At 40.9% G+C, this 15,521-nt stretch overlaps 1 annotated feature.

The window, feature by feature from the left end:
- Positions 6,130-6,721: an enhancer, noted in NCBI's record as "NANOG-H3K27ac hESC enhancer chr18:35605317-35605908 (GRCh37/hg19 assembly coordinates)". NCBI's record gives its function as "activates a minimal SCP1, AML or CMV promoter by ChIP-STARR-seq in naive H9 embryonic stem cells {active_cell/tissue: H9 hESC(naive)}" and the evidence as "EXISTENCE:reporter gene assay evidence [ECO:0000049][PMID:30033119]".

The raw sequence follows: 15,521 nt of genomic DNA on the forward strand, positions 1-15,521 counted from the left end.
CTCCACAGAACCTTGTGGCTATGGGGTGTTCTGTTGAACTCTTTAGCTACTTTCTCCTCATCCATTGGCAAGCAGAGGATGTCAGTCTCACTTTCTGTCCTTACTTTTCACAAGGATTCTAAACCCCTACGCCCAGCTGCCTTGATAGCCCATGTTCAATGTTGGCATTTGTAGCTCTGTGAGGTTGCTGAAAGTCCAACTGCCTTCTGTTTCTTACAGACAAATGGTTAGATCTTCAGGCTCTTACTCCTCACTACTTAAAATTCCACAAATTCCCGGAGCTCCCCTTCTAAGACCTTGGCCTCACATGTCTTGGCTTCCTCAGAAGCTCTCCAGTGCATTTGCATAGATATTATTTGTCAGTGCAATTATTTGGCAGCATTTTATCCAGCTTTTTTGGTTGCTCTCAGGAAAAAAAAAAGTGTTGTTCTACTTCAAGTTGCCCTGTCATAGCCAACTGTAGAAACTCATACCAGGCTATTTTAGACAGATGCATAGGGAGAGTGGTGGTTTTGGCATAAGCCTGTTGGTTACCAGGTATGTCTACAGGACATAAAAAGATGAGAGAAACAGTTGGAGTCTCTTTGTGTTTTTCTATCTTCCTATACTATATTGAGAACAAGGGTGTCTTTACCCTTACTTTTGATGACTCAGAACTCTGATCTACAGTCGTAAAGAGGAAAATATGAGTATACAAAACCATGTGCTTATGGGAATTATATTTGTTCCTTGAAATTTATTAAAGCTTTCTGACGGCTTGGCACATTATTAAATTTTTGTAAATGTTCTATTACTGCTTGAGAGAAATGTGTACTTTGTAATTGTTGTTTGTGAAACTCCATAAATGGCCGTTAGTTCGAGGTTATTTATTATATTGTTTTTATCTTTCAAATTATTTTAGTTATCTACCTGTTCGATCAGTAATTGAAAAGTCTGTGTTCAAATGTACTGTCTTGTGCCACTCATGTGTGTATTATTTTAATAATTTCCTTAAAGTGATATCTGTATCTTCTAATGGGTAACAAATACTTTAGTATGTTTTCACATCTCTTGGTCTCTCTGCTCCAACTTCTGTCATATTGAACTTAACAAGGCTTTTAATTCTAGGCTGTTATGAATATATTTGCTTTCTTTTGCTTTGCTCTAGTTACTTTTAAGAGCAACAACTGCCAGTATCAAAATATGAGAAATATATAACATTGTACACATCATGTTATATACATATATCCTATATAATATCTATATTTTTCATGTATGACATTTTTCATATATGGCATTGTGTGTGTGATATTATCACTTGAATTAGTCCTCCCTGTTATTTAAATTCTTCATCTCTAACTATTTTCTATATGGTACTTTGTGTAGCAAAGCTTCTTAAGCCTTATTTACCCAGCAATATTTTTATAGCTCTTATATTTGAATAATAGCTTGGGTGGATAAAAATTTTAAGTTTAGAAATTTTTTCTTACTGGTTCTTCTAACTTTTATGGCAGGAAGAGGTTGGCATACACAAACGTTAATGTGGAATGATTAAAAACCAAATTAAAAGGTAAAATTTATTAATGAAAACAGAAAATTCTTGCTAACTTAGAGAAAGCAGAGATTCATTAATTCATAAAAATCACAAAACTTGAAAAAAATAATTTGATAAAACAGATTCTGTCTATCTATCTATCTATCTATCTATCTATCTATCTATCTATCTATCGTCTATTTGTTTCTATCACCAATTGATTAAAATTCTGCTTTTTTAAAGACACATTTAAGTATATGAAGAAGCAAGCTTCAGGCTAAGAAACTCACAATTCTTATGTCTGAAAAAAGTACTTGTATCCAGAGTATATAAAGATCCTAAATAATCCAAGAAGACAAATAACCTAGTTAAAAATGTGCAGAGAATTTGAAAAGACATTTCAGAAAGAGGATAGGAATGACCAATAAGCATATAAAATGATGCTTAACATCCTTGGTCAACAGGAAAATAAAAATTTACACCACGATAAGATAGCGTTACAGTTAATTAGAATGGCTAATATGAACAAAATGTCTTGTAATGCCAAGTTTTGGTGAAGATGAGGAGTGACTTGAACTCTCACACACTGTTGGTGAAAAATGCATGATAATACAACCATTCTAGAAAATAATGGAGCAGTTTCTTATAAAGTTATATATATACTATATGGCTTTATAATTTTATTCCTTGATATTGTCCCAAGAGAAATGAAAACATACCTATTCAGAGATTTGTACATGAATGTTCATAACAGCTTTACTCATAAGAGCTCATTAAATAAGTAAACGGATAAACAGATTGTGGTATATTCATTCAATGAGCTTCTACCATGTAGTGAAAAGAATAGACTCAAAATAAATGCAAAAACATATATACATCTCAAAAATATTTTGCTGAGCAAAGGAAGCCAGTCACAAGAAAGTATGTACTGTATGCTTCCACTTAATTATAAAACTTAAGAAACATAAATCTAAATTTTAGTGGTAGAAAGAGGATCAGCTGTTGCCTGGGGCCAGGGATAGGGAATGAGAATTGACTATGAATTGGCCCCCAAATCTTTAAGGTTATAGAATTGTTCTGTATCTTAATTGTCATGGTGGTTACATGGACAGATACATTTGTCAAAACTCAGTGTAGTATATATATTTATAACTTGTGCATTTTGTATTATTTAATTTTACCTGAATAAAGTTGATTGAAATGAAAAGTTCTTTTACATACTAATCCTGTTTTTATATTTTTTCCTGAAGAAAGTAATTAGATAAGTACATAATGATATATATAAAACTTTATCCCATTATATGAGAGATCAACCTGAAGACAATATACATTATTAATAATAATGGATTATCTCAGTAAGATTGGTATATACATAAAATGCAGTCATTAAAATGATGATGTAGATATATAATAATTGATACATAAACATACTGGGAGCAGTTTTACATTCATTATTTAATTTCTGTTGCACAATAATAGCATGCATTTTCAAGTAAGGTTTGGGACAGTCAAGAGAACTATAACTTTGAGTGACAAAGTGATTTGTTCAAGAACATAAGGATTGTAACTGGATGGAGAGAGTTCGTTAGATGAGGCATATATGCTTCCTTCTGTACCATGCTCTCTCTCCCGTTTTACCCATCAGCTGCATTTGTCATGTGCTAATCTGATCTGTTTCCTTGAAGCGACAGAGTGCTGACAGAGAGCAGTGCAGATCTCATTCATGGTGGGTGAAAGCGCTAGATTCTGTTTCTCACTGTGGAGACACAGTCTGCAATAGAAACCAGATAAGACATGGGGAGACCAAAGCCAATCACATGTTTGAATGGCACCATAATTGATATATATTAAGTCATGATTCTGATTGAGACAAAATGTGCCTTCCCTTTCCAATCTGACACCATTGCTCTTTAGAAAATTTAAGAGCCAATGACCATTCTTTGGAGGACTAAATTAGATCTGACCTGTGGCAATGTTTATCAGGTCAGCCTTTACCCTGCCTCATCCTCCCTCCCTCCACTGCCTCTCTTTTTATCTTCATCTTTCCTTCACTCTTCATTATCAAATCCACTAATTCAGTGCCCTTGTGCTTCTTTAGAATTTGTCAAAGTGTGTGTGTGTGTGTGTGTGTGTGTGTGTGTGTGTGTGTATGTGTGACTAGACAAAGCTGTCAGAGACTGAATACACACACCATAACCCAGTTACTCATCAGTGTAGGTTAGGGAAGCTCTACTGTGGCCTTTAAGGCTACCGAATTTCCATAATGTGATATGGACCCACAATCTTTTATCTGAAAATCTTGGGGCCAGAAAGGTTTCTGAATTGTTGGATTTTACAAAGATAGTGTAATATATACAGCGGAATCTTAAGAATAAACCTATAAACACACAGTTGTATTCTGGAGTGAAACCTCTTAATGTTCATATTATGTAAGTAGTCTAATGTTAGTTCAGGTCTGGTTTGGCTGTCAAGTGAGTTCAAATCAGTTTCCAGTAGTTTTTGCGTACTGGAATTGAACATAAGTACTGAAGGCCACATCTAGCTCTCCAGGAGAGAACTCTAGGCACACTTTTAGCCTGTAGCTGTAGTCTCTTCTATTCTTTTTTAACCTGGCTCTTAATGCCTTTTTATTCATTCCCTGGTTTCAGATATGTGCTGTAGAACTTTCTCTTGAATTTGGACTTGTGTCTGGGAGTGGGTGTGCACAGACTTGTACACACCAATACAACTTTAATGAAGTATATTTAAAATATCTGAAAAATTCACTTCTTTTAAGTTTAAATTTTAATGGTTTTTAGTATGTGTGTACAGTCATAAAATCACTATAATTTTCAAGGTTTAGAGCACTTCTGTCACCCCAACATCTCCCTCCTGTATCAATGCAGTCAGTCCCCACTCCCACCACAGCCTCAGGCCAGGCAACCATCCATGCAGTCTTTTGTGTCTGTGTCTTTTACTTAGCCCAGTATTTTGAGATGTATCCATGCCCTTGTGTGTATTAGCACTTTGTTCTCTTTTATTGCTGAGTGGTATTTCCATATGTGCATTAACTAGTGAATAGATCAAGTATATGTAGCTCATCTTTACAATGAAATACTATTTAGCAATAGAAAGGTCTTGTGTTTTTAACCTGTTGTCCAGCTTACCAACCTCTGAATCCCCGGTTGACACTGGATGCTTCCTCAGGTTATGTGTCCCATCTCTTTCATTATGAGACTTAGGCCAAAAAGTCTCTCTCTAGCCCCTAAACCTACAGTTATTTCTTAGGCAACTGGGCTTAGGTAGTGCAGTGAGCTGGAAAGTCTTGGAAACGTAATTGCCCCTCTCCTGGATGAGTGGATCACAGCTATGACTCTTCACACTGCATATTCAGCTATAGAGTCAGGCAAGAAGGACTTTCTGGTGATTATCATGTTGGCCACTCCAAGTATGGACACCAGTACTTTTTCTATTGCACCTAATAGGATCTTTGCCTACTGCATGGAATGCAGGGATTGAGAGATGTGCCCACTTTCTGAGAATGGAGGAACTGTAGCTGGATTGGGAATCTAGAGGAAATTTCTCCTCTATCTGGCTAAACTGAAACCTTTATTCTATTGTAGTTGAGCCAAATCAACAAACTATCTCCAGGAAAAGAGGCTTGAAAGAGATTCCCTTTAGTATTCCCTTCACACTTAAGATTTTTGCTTGGGCACTGACACTCCTAAGAGAGCCAGAGAAACAGCGAAGGAAAACCTGGATGGAAGTCAGTAGTTTGTAGGAGGGGTAGATAAATTTACCTGCCTTTGGATCCAACTGCACCACATTGCTGGCAGTGATGAGTGCCATTCCCTTTCAGAACCAGCCTAGATTAAGTGACAGGATGTCCTGTTCATGAAAAGGGCCATTCATCACCCAGTGGAAAATGTCATATGGCAAGGCAGTACCTTAACAAGTTGCTCTCAGACTTCTACAGAGGCTCCAAGAGGGTAGACACTGTTATTATTTGCATTTCATGTCTAGAGGCAGAGCTAGGGTGAGGCAGGGAACAGGAACGATGGAAGATAGGGATACTACTGTTCTGTAACTGTGGCAATTTTTTGTTCTGTCTTATTTGCACTTGACATTTAGTTGCTACTTTATTTTCTGCTTTGGAAAAGTATTTAACTTTCCTGCTTCTAATTTTACTAAGCAGCAAAATGAAAATAATAATAATACATGAGTTAACACAGGTAATACCATTAGGATGGTAATCCTGGAGCCTAGTAATGCTTCAATAAAATGTAGCCACTGTTACTTGATATTATTTTTCAGTGGCAGGAATATTTTTCTGAACCTGTAGATTGTGTGCAACTTACAAGGAGGAGATAATCGGTTCAGCTGCATCATATAAATCTGTGCCATTATGGACATTATGGACAAAGGTCCACAGATTATTATGCAGACGGGGACATGAATGTGAGACTGACAATGAGAAGAACCACTTCTTCCTTCCCAGTGCTGAGCTTTGAGGTGTTAGACAAGGGTCCATACTTTTAACAGGGGGACAACGTCCAAGAAATATCCATTGAAGGGTTGGCTGTATAGAAGATACAGTCTCTCCAACCTAGGAATTCTCACATTTTATAATCAGTGTCAAGAATTTTTCTATTGTAAATCTCTTCTATTATCTGAAAAACTTTAATAAAAAGATTTAAACTCTCATAACCTGTTCTGAGGCATGGTTTAGAGGAGGCTCCATTCCTGCATCTAGTGATGTAGTCAAAGTCGGCCGTGGCCACCTGCAGGACTCAGTTATGGTTTGAAGAGGTGATGTCAGGGGAGCAAGCAGTGTCGTCCTTAGAAGCAGCTGCTTGCCTGGAGTGACAGAGGGTGGGATAAACTGTAAGCATTTCTTGGAAATTCCTGGAATTCCTTGGTGATGAATACTCTGTAGAATGTTTGACTTCTTGTGAACTCAAGCATAATGGGGACTCAACTTCTAACTGTATATTAAAAGGACTTAATATGTTATGAAGGACTGCATAAACCTGGACAACATTAGGGGTTGGGGACAGGGAAAACCCTGACACCCAGATGAGAGCACTCAGAGGAAGTACTTATGCCGCCCTCACTGTGTCCTCAGGCAAAGCTTCTCCCACATTCCAGCTTCTCCTGCCTCAGGAGAGAGGCAGCTGAGGTACCTGTGTTACAGGAGCTAAAAAGAAATTATTCAGACAGTTAGTGAGGGTAAGAGAGTCCTCAGAAAGGTTTCCCTTTGAATAAAAAAGCAGCCCCTAAATCATTTATTTTCTAACAAAGAGCAGCCTGGAAAATCAAGCTGCAGACAGAAAAGCAAGCTAGAAGCTTGCACAGGTAAATGCTGGCAGCAGTGCCAGAAGAAAAGGGATACCTAGGAGCCAGGCATATTCAACATGGAGGTTCCATCTTCCCTTTTCTTTGTCACCGCGTGTTTAGTCAGGGAACAGGCAACATGGCACCAGCCAGGTAGAGAACCTATCTGCATAATAAAAGATTAGGGTGGGTAGCCAGCTTCTTCACTTGCTATGTAAATGGCATACCTGGTCCAACCAATCCTTTGCGCCCTGTGTAAATCAGACACCGCCTCCTCAAGCTCATCTATAAAATCTCCTGCACTTCTTCACAGAGTGGAAGACCCACTCAGGAGCCCTCTCTGCAAGAGAGAGAGCTTTTCTTTTTTTTTTTTTTGAGATGGAGTTTCGCTCTTGTTGCCCAGGCTGGAGTGCAATGGCACAATCTCAGCTCACTGCAACCTCAGCCTCCTTGGTCCAAACAATTCTCCTGCCTCAGCCTCCTGAGTAGCTGGGATTACAGGCACCATACCTGGCTAATTTTGTATTTTTAGTAGAGATGGGGTTTCTCCATGTTGGTCAGGCTGGTCTCAAACTCCTGACCTTAGGTGATCCACTCACCTTGGCCTTCCAAAATGCTGGGATTACAGGCATGAGCCACTGAACCTAGTCGAAAGAGAGCTTTTCTCATTACCCCAGACATACAACACAACTTCACCTACAGATCATCTAGTCCCTGAAGAGATGATATCTTCTCTTGCTCTGCAGAGCTACCACCTCACTAGAAAGCATAGGTGGTCACAGCACTGATTTCTCATCGGTGGGTTGGAATCCAGTAGCAGCATGATCTACCGCATCAACCACAAGACCAGCTACACTGTGTCACTGTGGGCTATCCAGAGCTCTACCTGCCACTCTGACAGTATTGCCTTAAAAATTCAGAGGATGGCGGGGCCAATGCCGCCGGATTCCACCACTTTGAATGGTACTTAGAACGAATCATTCTGAAATGGGAAAAGTTCCTTTGCCCCGTTCAAGGGCTCGTGATGGGGGTGTGGCTTGCTTCTTCAGTGCCCCCTGCTGCTGGGCTCAAACCTCTAGGGGAGCATACACATGGGCAGGCTGTGGGGCTCCAACCCCACAGCAGTGTCTAGGGGTGAATGTTTACAGCTCCTGAAGCCTCAGTGGGCATGTGTTACAGGGTGCTCTTTTAGTTTGCCATCTATAGGTGGCTTGTGTTAGTCAGCTCAGTTAGACCCTCTACCTTGTCACAAGGACAGAGGGCTTTCTGTATCTCGGGGTTTCTTGCCTTGGTGTACTGGAAGAAGCCTGATCACATGTGGGCTTGGAGAACGAGTGCAAGGTTTTATTGAGTGGAAGTAGCTCTCAGCAGATGGGGGAGCCAGAAGGGAGATGGTTTTCCCCTGGAGGCAGGGCGCTTGGTGGCCCGGGTTCTCCTCCGACTGCCCCAGCCAAACTCTGCCTCATCCTGCCAGTGGATGGCCTGCTGGTGAGCCGGTGTTCTGTTCCGCCTGTGCATGCCCTCCACATCCTCTCATTGTGCAGCTGCTTATGTCTTCTTCCACTGAGGTGCTCCTCTCGATGTCTGGCTGCCTGTGTGTCTGCCTGCTAGGGTCTTGGGGGTTTTTATAGGCCCAGAATGGGGACGTGGCAGGCCAGAGTGGTCTTGGAAAATGCAACATTTGGACGTGAAGGCAGGAGTGCCTGTCCTCACCTAGGTCTGTGGTAGTGGAGCCCTAGCCAGGGACGCGCCTTTCTCTACCCAGCACTTCCCTTCCCCACTTCGGTATCATTTAAAGGGACCACACTCTTCCCCTCCCAGCACTCGTTTATCAATTCCAGCAAAACTTTAAGATTAACTGCCAAATGTATCCAAATTCTCTGGCCCTCGGGACTTGAAGGGTGAGTCTGTATGAATGTGAATATGAACTTGTACATTCAATTTTCCCTCAAGCTGCCATTGAATATATATATTTTTTCCATTTCCCAACACACAGATCGGCATCGAGAGCAGGGAGAGAGTAACTACGTCTTTACCCGCAGCCCTTTGGTACCTTAAGTGTGGTGCTGCCGCCAGTTAGGATGGGTTTACTTGTTGAGGCCAGATAGGCCAATTTTTATACAGGTCCCTAAAAAAAAAAAACAACAGCCAGAGGCAAACTGGCTGCAAATTTTCTAGTCAGGAGAAAAACCAAGCTCTCAGTTTCTTAAAATTTAAAGAAATCAGGTATCTGATCCCAAGACCCAGGCATGGTGATTTGAAAACAGCAGAAAGCCAAGAGACAGCATTCAAATCTGAAAGCTGGCCACCCTTCTCTCTGTCTGCCGTCATGTAATGAAGGCACACACATAGGGGGACTGGGCATTACTATGACTCACAATATCATGGACATCAAGATGGACAGAGAGATAGGAGACCACATCGAGACTTTCCCAGTGAGTGCCTGTATTTCCTCTCGGGCCTTTCCATCCTCTAGCAGGAAACCCCTACCTCCACCTTACCTAGGAGTTCCACTACAGTAATTGCCTGGACCTTACCTGTCCTCTTGTCTTTCTCTGTCCTAGAACTCCAAACAAGCATTCTGCCTCCTGGAACGGGTTTCTCAGACCAGGAGTGTGGGAACTTCTCCGGCATTGTGAGCGAGACTGCTCTGACACCATGGAACTCAGCACCTGTGTTCCTCCCCACCAGGCAGGGTGTGGGAGCACCGTGTCTGAGACAGGAAGGCTTCCTTTAGCTATGCATCCTCATATTTTGTCTTCCCCCATCCTGGAGGGTTCCCCAGTCACCGCCAGCCTTTCTTGTCTGATTCCAGGGGACTTTGTGCCTGATCTGGCCTTCGTGATGCCATTTTAGGTACTCAGCCGGGCTCTCCTTTGCAATCCATCTCCTTATACGTGGAGACAGGCAGGAGAATTCTGTTCTTCGGGTGTGTGGTGCTAAGATTGTTGAGCGCTCCCACAGAGGTCTCTGAGGGAGCCACCCATTATCTGTCAAAATCGAGGGAATGGGAACAGGGAAGAAGATGGGATGATGCTGCAGAGGCTGGCTAGAGTGCTCATGTTTGCATGGGGAAAGAAGTCACCTTATGCTCTGCCATCAGGAGTCCTGGCAATGCGCCCCTCACTAATGCCTGAGATGGCATTGTCACAGTTTCATACTCTTGTCTTTCGATTTCTAACCTTGCTCTTTTTCAAATATGCATTACTTCAAACATCAACTTATTAAAGTACTTTTCTAATAATGGTCTGTACTCAGTGCAAAAATATAAAAAGAAATAAGGACGAATTTTGAACAGGAGGAGCTCAAAGTCTAGTGAGAAATAAGCCTTTTATATTTATAAATAAAAATTACAATAGTACCTAATATGGGCTTTCTCATCAGTTGCTTAAAGTGGCAATTCTGCTTGAGGAAATCAGGAGAGGCTTCAGAGGAATCAGCCCTTGAGTGGAGATTTAGGTGAACACGGACAGTGAAGGGATGCAGAGGGAAGGCATTTACGGCAGAGGAGTAAATGACATGCACCAAGATTATTACAAGGTACTGGTTCGCACAATCATGGAAGCTAAGAAGACAAGACAGCAGACAACCTGCTGAATCAGTAAAACTGTGTGTAGTCCGTGGTTGTGTTTGATAACCAGTATCACAGCTACCAAAGGAGACTGTGATGGTTAATTTTATGTGTCAATTTGACAGGATCACAGTCTGCCCAGATATTTGGTAAAATATTATTCTGGGTGTGTCTGTGAGGGAGTCTCTGGATGAGATGACATTTGAATCAGTGACTGAGGAAAGCAGATCTCCCTGCCCCGTGTGGGTGGGCCTCATCTGCTGAAGGCTTTAACAGAAGAAAAGGCTGAATAGGGAAGAATTTGCTCTTTCTATCTGACTGTCTTTCACTGAGACATCACTCTTCTCCTGACTTTGAACTAATGCTCAGACTGGAACTACACCAGGCTCTCCCAGTTCTCTCCCAATTTCAGATACTGGAACATCTTAGCCTCCATAATCATGTGAACCACTACCTTCTAATCATCTACCCACCTCCTTACCTATCGATCATCTATCTTTTTCTGTTTCCTGATGAGCTCTGACTAAAACAGGGACCCTAGTGTCTTAGTCTGCTGGGGGTACTATAAATAATACAACAGATTGGTTGGCTTAATAAACAGACATTTATTTTCTCATAGTTCTGGAATCTGGGACGTCTATGACTGAGTGCCTGCAAATTCTGTTTATGGTAAGTGTTTTCTTCATGGCTTGTGGCCCCCTTCTTGCTATGTCCCCCTATGGCTTTTCCTTGGTGCACGTGCACAGGGGCAGGGGTGGTGGTGAGTGGGGTTGAAGAGAGAGAGAGAGAGAGACAGAGACACAGAGAGAGGGAGAGTACACAAACTCTCTGGTGTCCCTTCTGATAAGAACATTAATCCTATTAGATCAGGACCTCACCTTTAAGACTCCATTTAACCTTAATTACCTCCGTAGAGGACACATCTCCAAATACAGTCACACTGGGAGGTTAGGCTTTGACACAGGAATTTTGAAGGACACAATTCAGTCCATAATACTGGGAGAGGGTGATGGAAGAGAAGTCTGGACAGGTGGCCAAGATGAGAACGTGAAACACTTTGTGTCTCATACTAAGGGATTTTAAGGTTTATCCTGCCATTGATGGGGAGATATTGAAGGATTTTAACTGTGAAAAAGAGAAGAGATGACAACATTTATATTAGAAAATTTATTCTGATTTCTGGTTAAATGAGCATTGATTAGCAGTCTCTGGAATAGTCTGCACACATTAGCCAATGGAAATTTTGTCGCAAATTTAAAAAATGATTACTCATAACCTCTGGAGAAACTAAGGCAGACAGCCAGTGCCAGATTCTTGGAGATATTTTAACACTTATATGGTTCATTTAGTTGTATTGAGAAAAATCATTTGTGGCCTTTCATGCAGCCCCACATTAGTGAGCACCCCAAAGATGCTCATTTACCCTGTCTGGGGTCTTCTCTTTAGGCTCAATACCTATTACCTTTGGTGTCTATGCTGGTCATAACACTGGGAGATCACCCAAATTCACTGCATTGATGTAGCATTTTGCAGCAGAGTTTGTTTCTCTTTTATCTTTAGATAACAGGGAAAGAAGAGGGTGGGATGGGGTGCAAACAAGGAATGGCTTTGGCGTTTGGCATTTTGATTGATAAATCCCATACATACAGTGTTCTTGGGAGTGACAAAAATAAGAACATCCTTAACAACAGTTCACACTAGTTTGATTTTAATTAGTTTTAATTTTAATTTAGTTTTAATTTATTATTTAATATTACTTAAGTATTTGTTTATTATAGATAGCATCAGTTCTAGGAATCAGGCAATAGAATAAGATATTAAGAATCTATATCCAGCAAAGCAGCCTTGGTCTAGTTGGATTATTTATCAAATTGCTATCCAGCTGAAGATTTGAGAAGGTTTTGCTATTGTTTTTGTTTGCTTTTTGACAAATGCTAGGTGACTAGTAAGATCAAAGCATTTTTTTTTTTTTTTTTGAGACGGAGTCTCGCTCTTTCGCCCAGGCTGGAGTGCAGTGGCGTGATCTCGGCTCACTGCAAGCTCCGCCTCCCAGGTTCATGCCATTCTCCTGCCTCAGCCTCCCAAGTAGCAGCTGGGACTACAGGTGCCTGCCACCACGCCTGGCTAATTTTTTGTATTTTTAGTGGAGACTGGGTTTCACCGTGTTAGCCAGGATGGTCTCAATCTCCTGATCTCATGATCTGCCCACCTCGGCCTCCCAAAGCGCTGGCATTACAGGTGTCAGCCACCGCACCCGGCCCGATCAAAGCATGTTTACACATCATATCTCTCAAAAAAGGTTGGATTGAAATATATCACGACTTCTTGAAATATGGAATCACTAAAAGGAGTACTAAATGCCTATATTGAACTGATATGTGTAAATCTCATTATTTAAGGATGCAGGAACATAGGAAAACTAGACCAGAACCTAGGACAAAAATATTGAAGACAAAAGAATATGAAATATTATCCTAAACATTAATAGAAAGTTAAGACTTGAAAATAATTTACTAAAATAACCAGAAAAAATTTCAGAAAACTGCATGCCATGTTTAGTAAGATATAAGGCATAGTCTACATGCAATAAGGAAAGAAATCCATAAGTATTGAAAAGGCTAAAATCAAACTACAAATGTGATGAAATGAATAACAACATAGGTGGGAAGATAATCTGCATAAGAAAATAAAGCATGATAAAATAGAAATTGCAGCACCAAAACCAAAGTCCTCATTTTTGGCAATGTGATGCAACATTGGAACTTTATTGATCAGTGATGCGAAGGATGAGCTTGAAAAACTTTTCCAAAATGGAGATTGCCTTGCTCTGACTTCTATCTTGAAAGCTGATTTAAAAACACACACCCACTGGATGGTGTGGATAAATATATTTGTTAATTATTTCTGAAAACAAAAGAGCCATTTGTCAAATTCTCTTTCATACTGACAAGATCATTTGGATATATTATTTAGGACAGTGATTCTAAAATATGATCACTGGGCTAGCAGCAGAAGCAGCATCTGAGATCTTGTTAGAAATATAAGTTCTCAAGCAACACCTCAACCTATTGAGTCAGGAACTCTGGGAGTGGGGCCAAGTAGTTGGTGCTTTAACCAGCCCTATGGGTGATTCTGATGCTGCTCAAGTTTGAGAACCACTGGATTAGGAGAATAGCTTGCTTGCTATAATGAGAATGTTCCCAGGTAGCTTCCCTGGCCACCTCAGGTATCCCTCATCTACCACTGATCCAGACATACAAAATCCAGACAAGTTTGCAGATGTGAAGGCTCTGCTAGTTGGGGAGCATGTGTGCCTCAGATTCCCCACACCCAAATGAGAGGAAAGGGTCATCAATAACTGATTTTCCCAAACAAGAGTATTAAAGGTATTCCAAATGCAACATATGAATATAAATTAAGTAGAAGAAACATTTCCTAAAGTTAGGGAAGAGCTGTGCATGCGCATTGAAAAGGCTTTCTGTAATATGGGCAAAGTCAACAAGAAGACTCACAGCTAATTAATTCTGGGGGAAAATAAAGGGTACCTTAAGAAGAACAGACATCTCATAAACAAGGAAGGAGGGAAGGAAGGAAGGGAAAAAGTCTGCCTCTAAGACTAAAAATCTTTGTGTAGGCATCAGATCTAGAGACAAAGTAACACATTAGGTTTATGTAGGAAGACGGATACCTCTTCCTCCAAGGCTATCAGTAAGGATGCAATATTATGTACAAAATGTTGGAAACAAGTAAGATTGAAAACTTGTAAATCATATGATAGATTTCCTGAAATACGGTTTGTGCTCACTTAGTGCTAGCAGTTACTCATTATTACAGCACCATGAGCACAGGAATGGGGAGAACCTGACTCATTTCCTGGAAGGTGCCATACTCTAGGCCCTAGAGTCTAGGCCATTTACACATGCTTCCCTAGAAAGAAGGCAAGATCTGAGAACAGGTCCAAATAAAATGGTAAATGCAGAGGAGTGTTAAGAGCATAATTATTCTGGGATATTTTGTGTGACCGAATATGTGCTTGGGGATGGTGGCTGAGGACCTCAGAGAATAGTGGCAAGAAATGTTAAACAGCCTGGGCGTGGTGGCTGATGTCTGTAATCCCAGCCTTTTGGGAGGCCGAGGAGGGTGGATCACCTGAGGTCAAGAGTTAGAGACGAGCCTGGCCAACACAGTGAAACCCCATCTCTACCAAAATACAAAAATTAGCCGGGTGTGTTGGCGGACACCTGTAATCCCAGCTACTCAGGAGGCTGAGGCAAGAGAATCGCTGGAACCCAGGAGGCGAAGGTTGCAATGAGCCGAGATCGTGCCATTGCACTCCAGCCTGGGCAACAAGAGCGAAAGTCCGTCTCAAAAAGAAAAAAAGAAAAGAAAGAATGTTAAACAAAAGGAAAGGGTTACTCCAGGAAATTTTCAAGTACTCCACTGTATTTCATGTGCAGGTCCTATGTAGAAAAGCTCTCCAGCACATGTCACATAGGACAATGGGCACACATTCCTCCCCTCTACTTGCTTTCTTGGTAACAGGAAAGCTAGCCTGGACTCTCAGGTCCTCCAAGGCTGGGATGCAACTGATGAGAGCTCACATCAGTGAGGTAGCATCGCTGCCATAGCCCAATGAGAACTTGCTTTCTTTCTCCCAATATTGTCAGTTTACGAACAATAGTCTTGTATTCAACAATAATCTTGTATATTAAACTCTACTCTCAAGGATTATGAAATCTAGTCAGGGAGACAAGCCACACATCTGAGAAATTAATAACCATTCAAAATCTAAAAACAATACAGAAAATGTCAAGAGTGTTTATGTGTTAAGTGAAATGTGAGTGATGGAAATATCTAGCTACATAATGAGCTACCATTGTTGGTGAAGATGCCAGAGAAAGCTTTACAGAGAAGGGAAGCAAACTAGCAGAATGTAGCAGTAACTCCACTGCAGGCTGAGAGAATAACATGAGGCTCAAAAACAGGGAACTGTGAGATGAAATAAGTGGATACTTTCGAGAGAACAGGGATTAACTTTAGGAAGGAGTATGAAGTTGAAATGGTAATATTTTGGTGTTTGGAATTTATCTTATGGGTGATATAGACCCATGGAAATTTAAAGAT

The sequence above is a fragment of the Homo sapiens genome, chromosome 18 (genome assembly GCF_000001405.40).
Source record: "Homo sapiens chromosome 18, GRCh38.p14 Primary Assembly".
Classification (NCBI taxonomy): domain Eukaryota; kingdom Metazoa; phylum Chordata; class Mammalia; order Primates; family Hominidae; genus Homo; species Homo sapiens.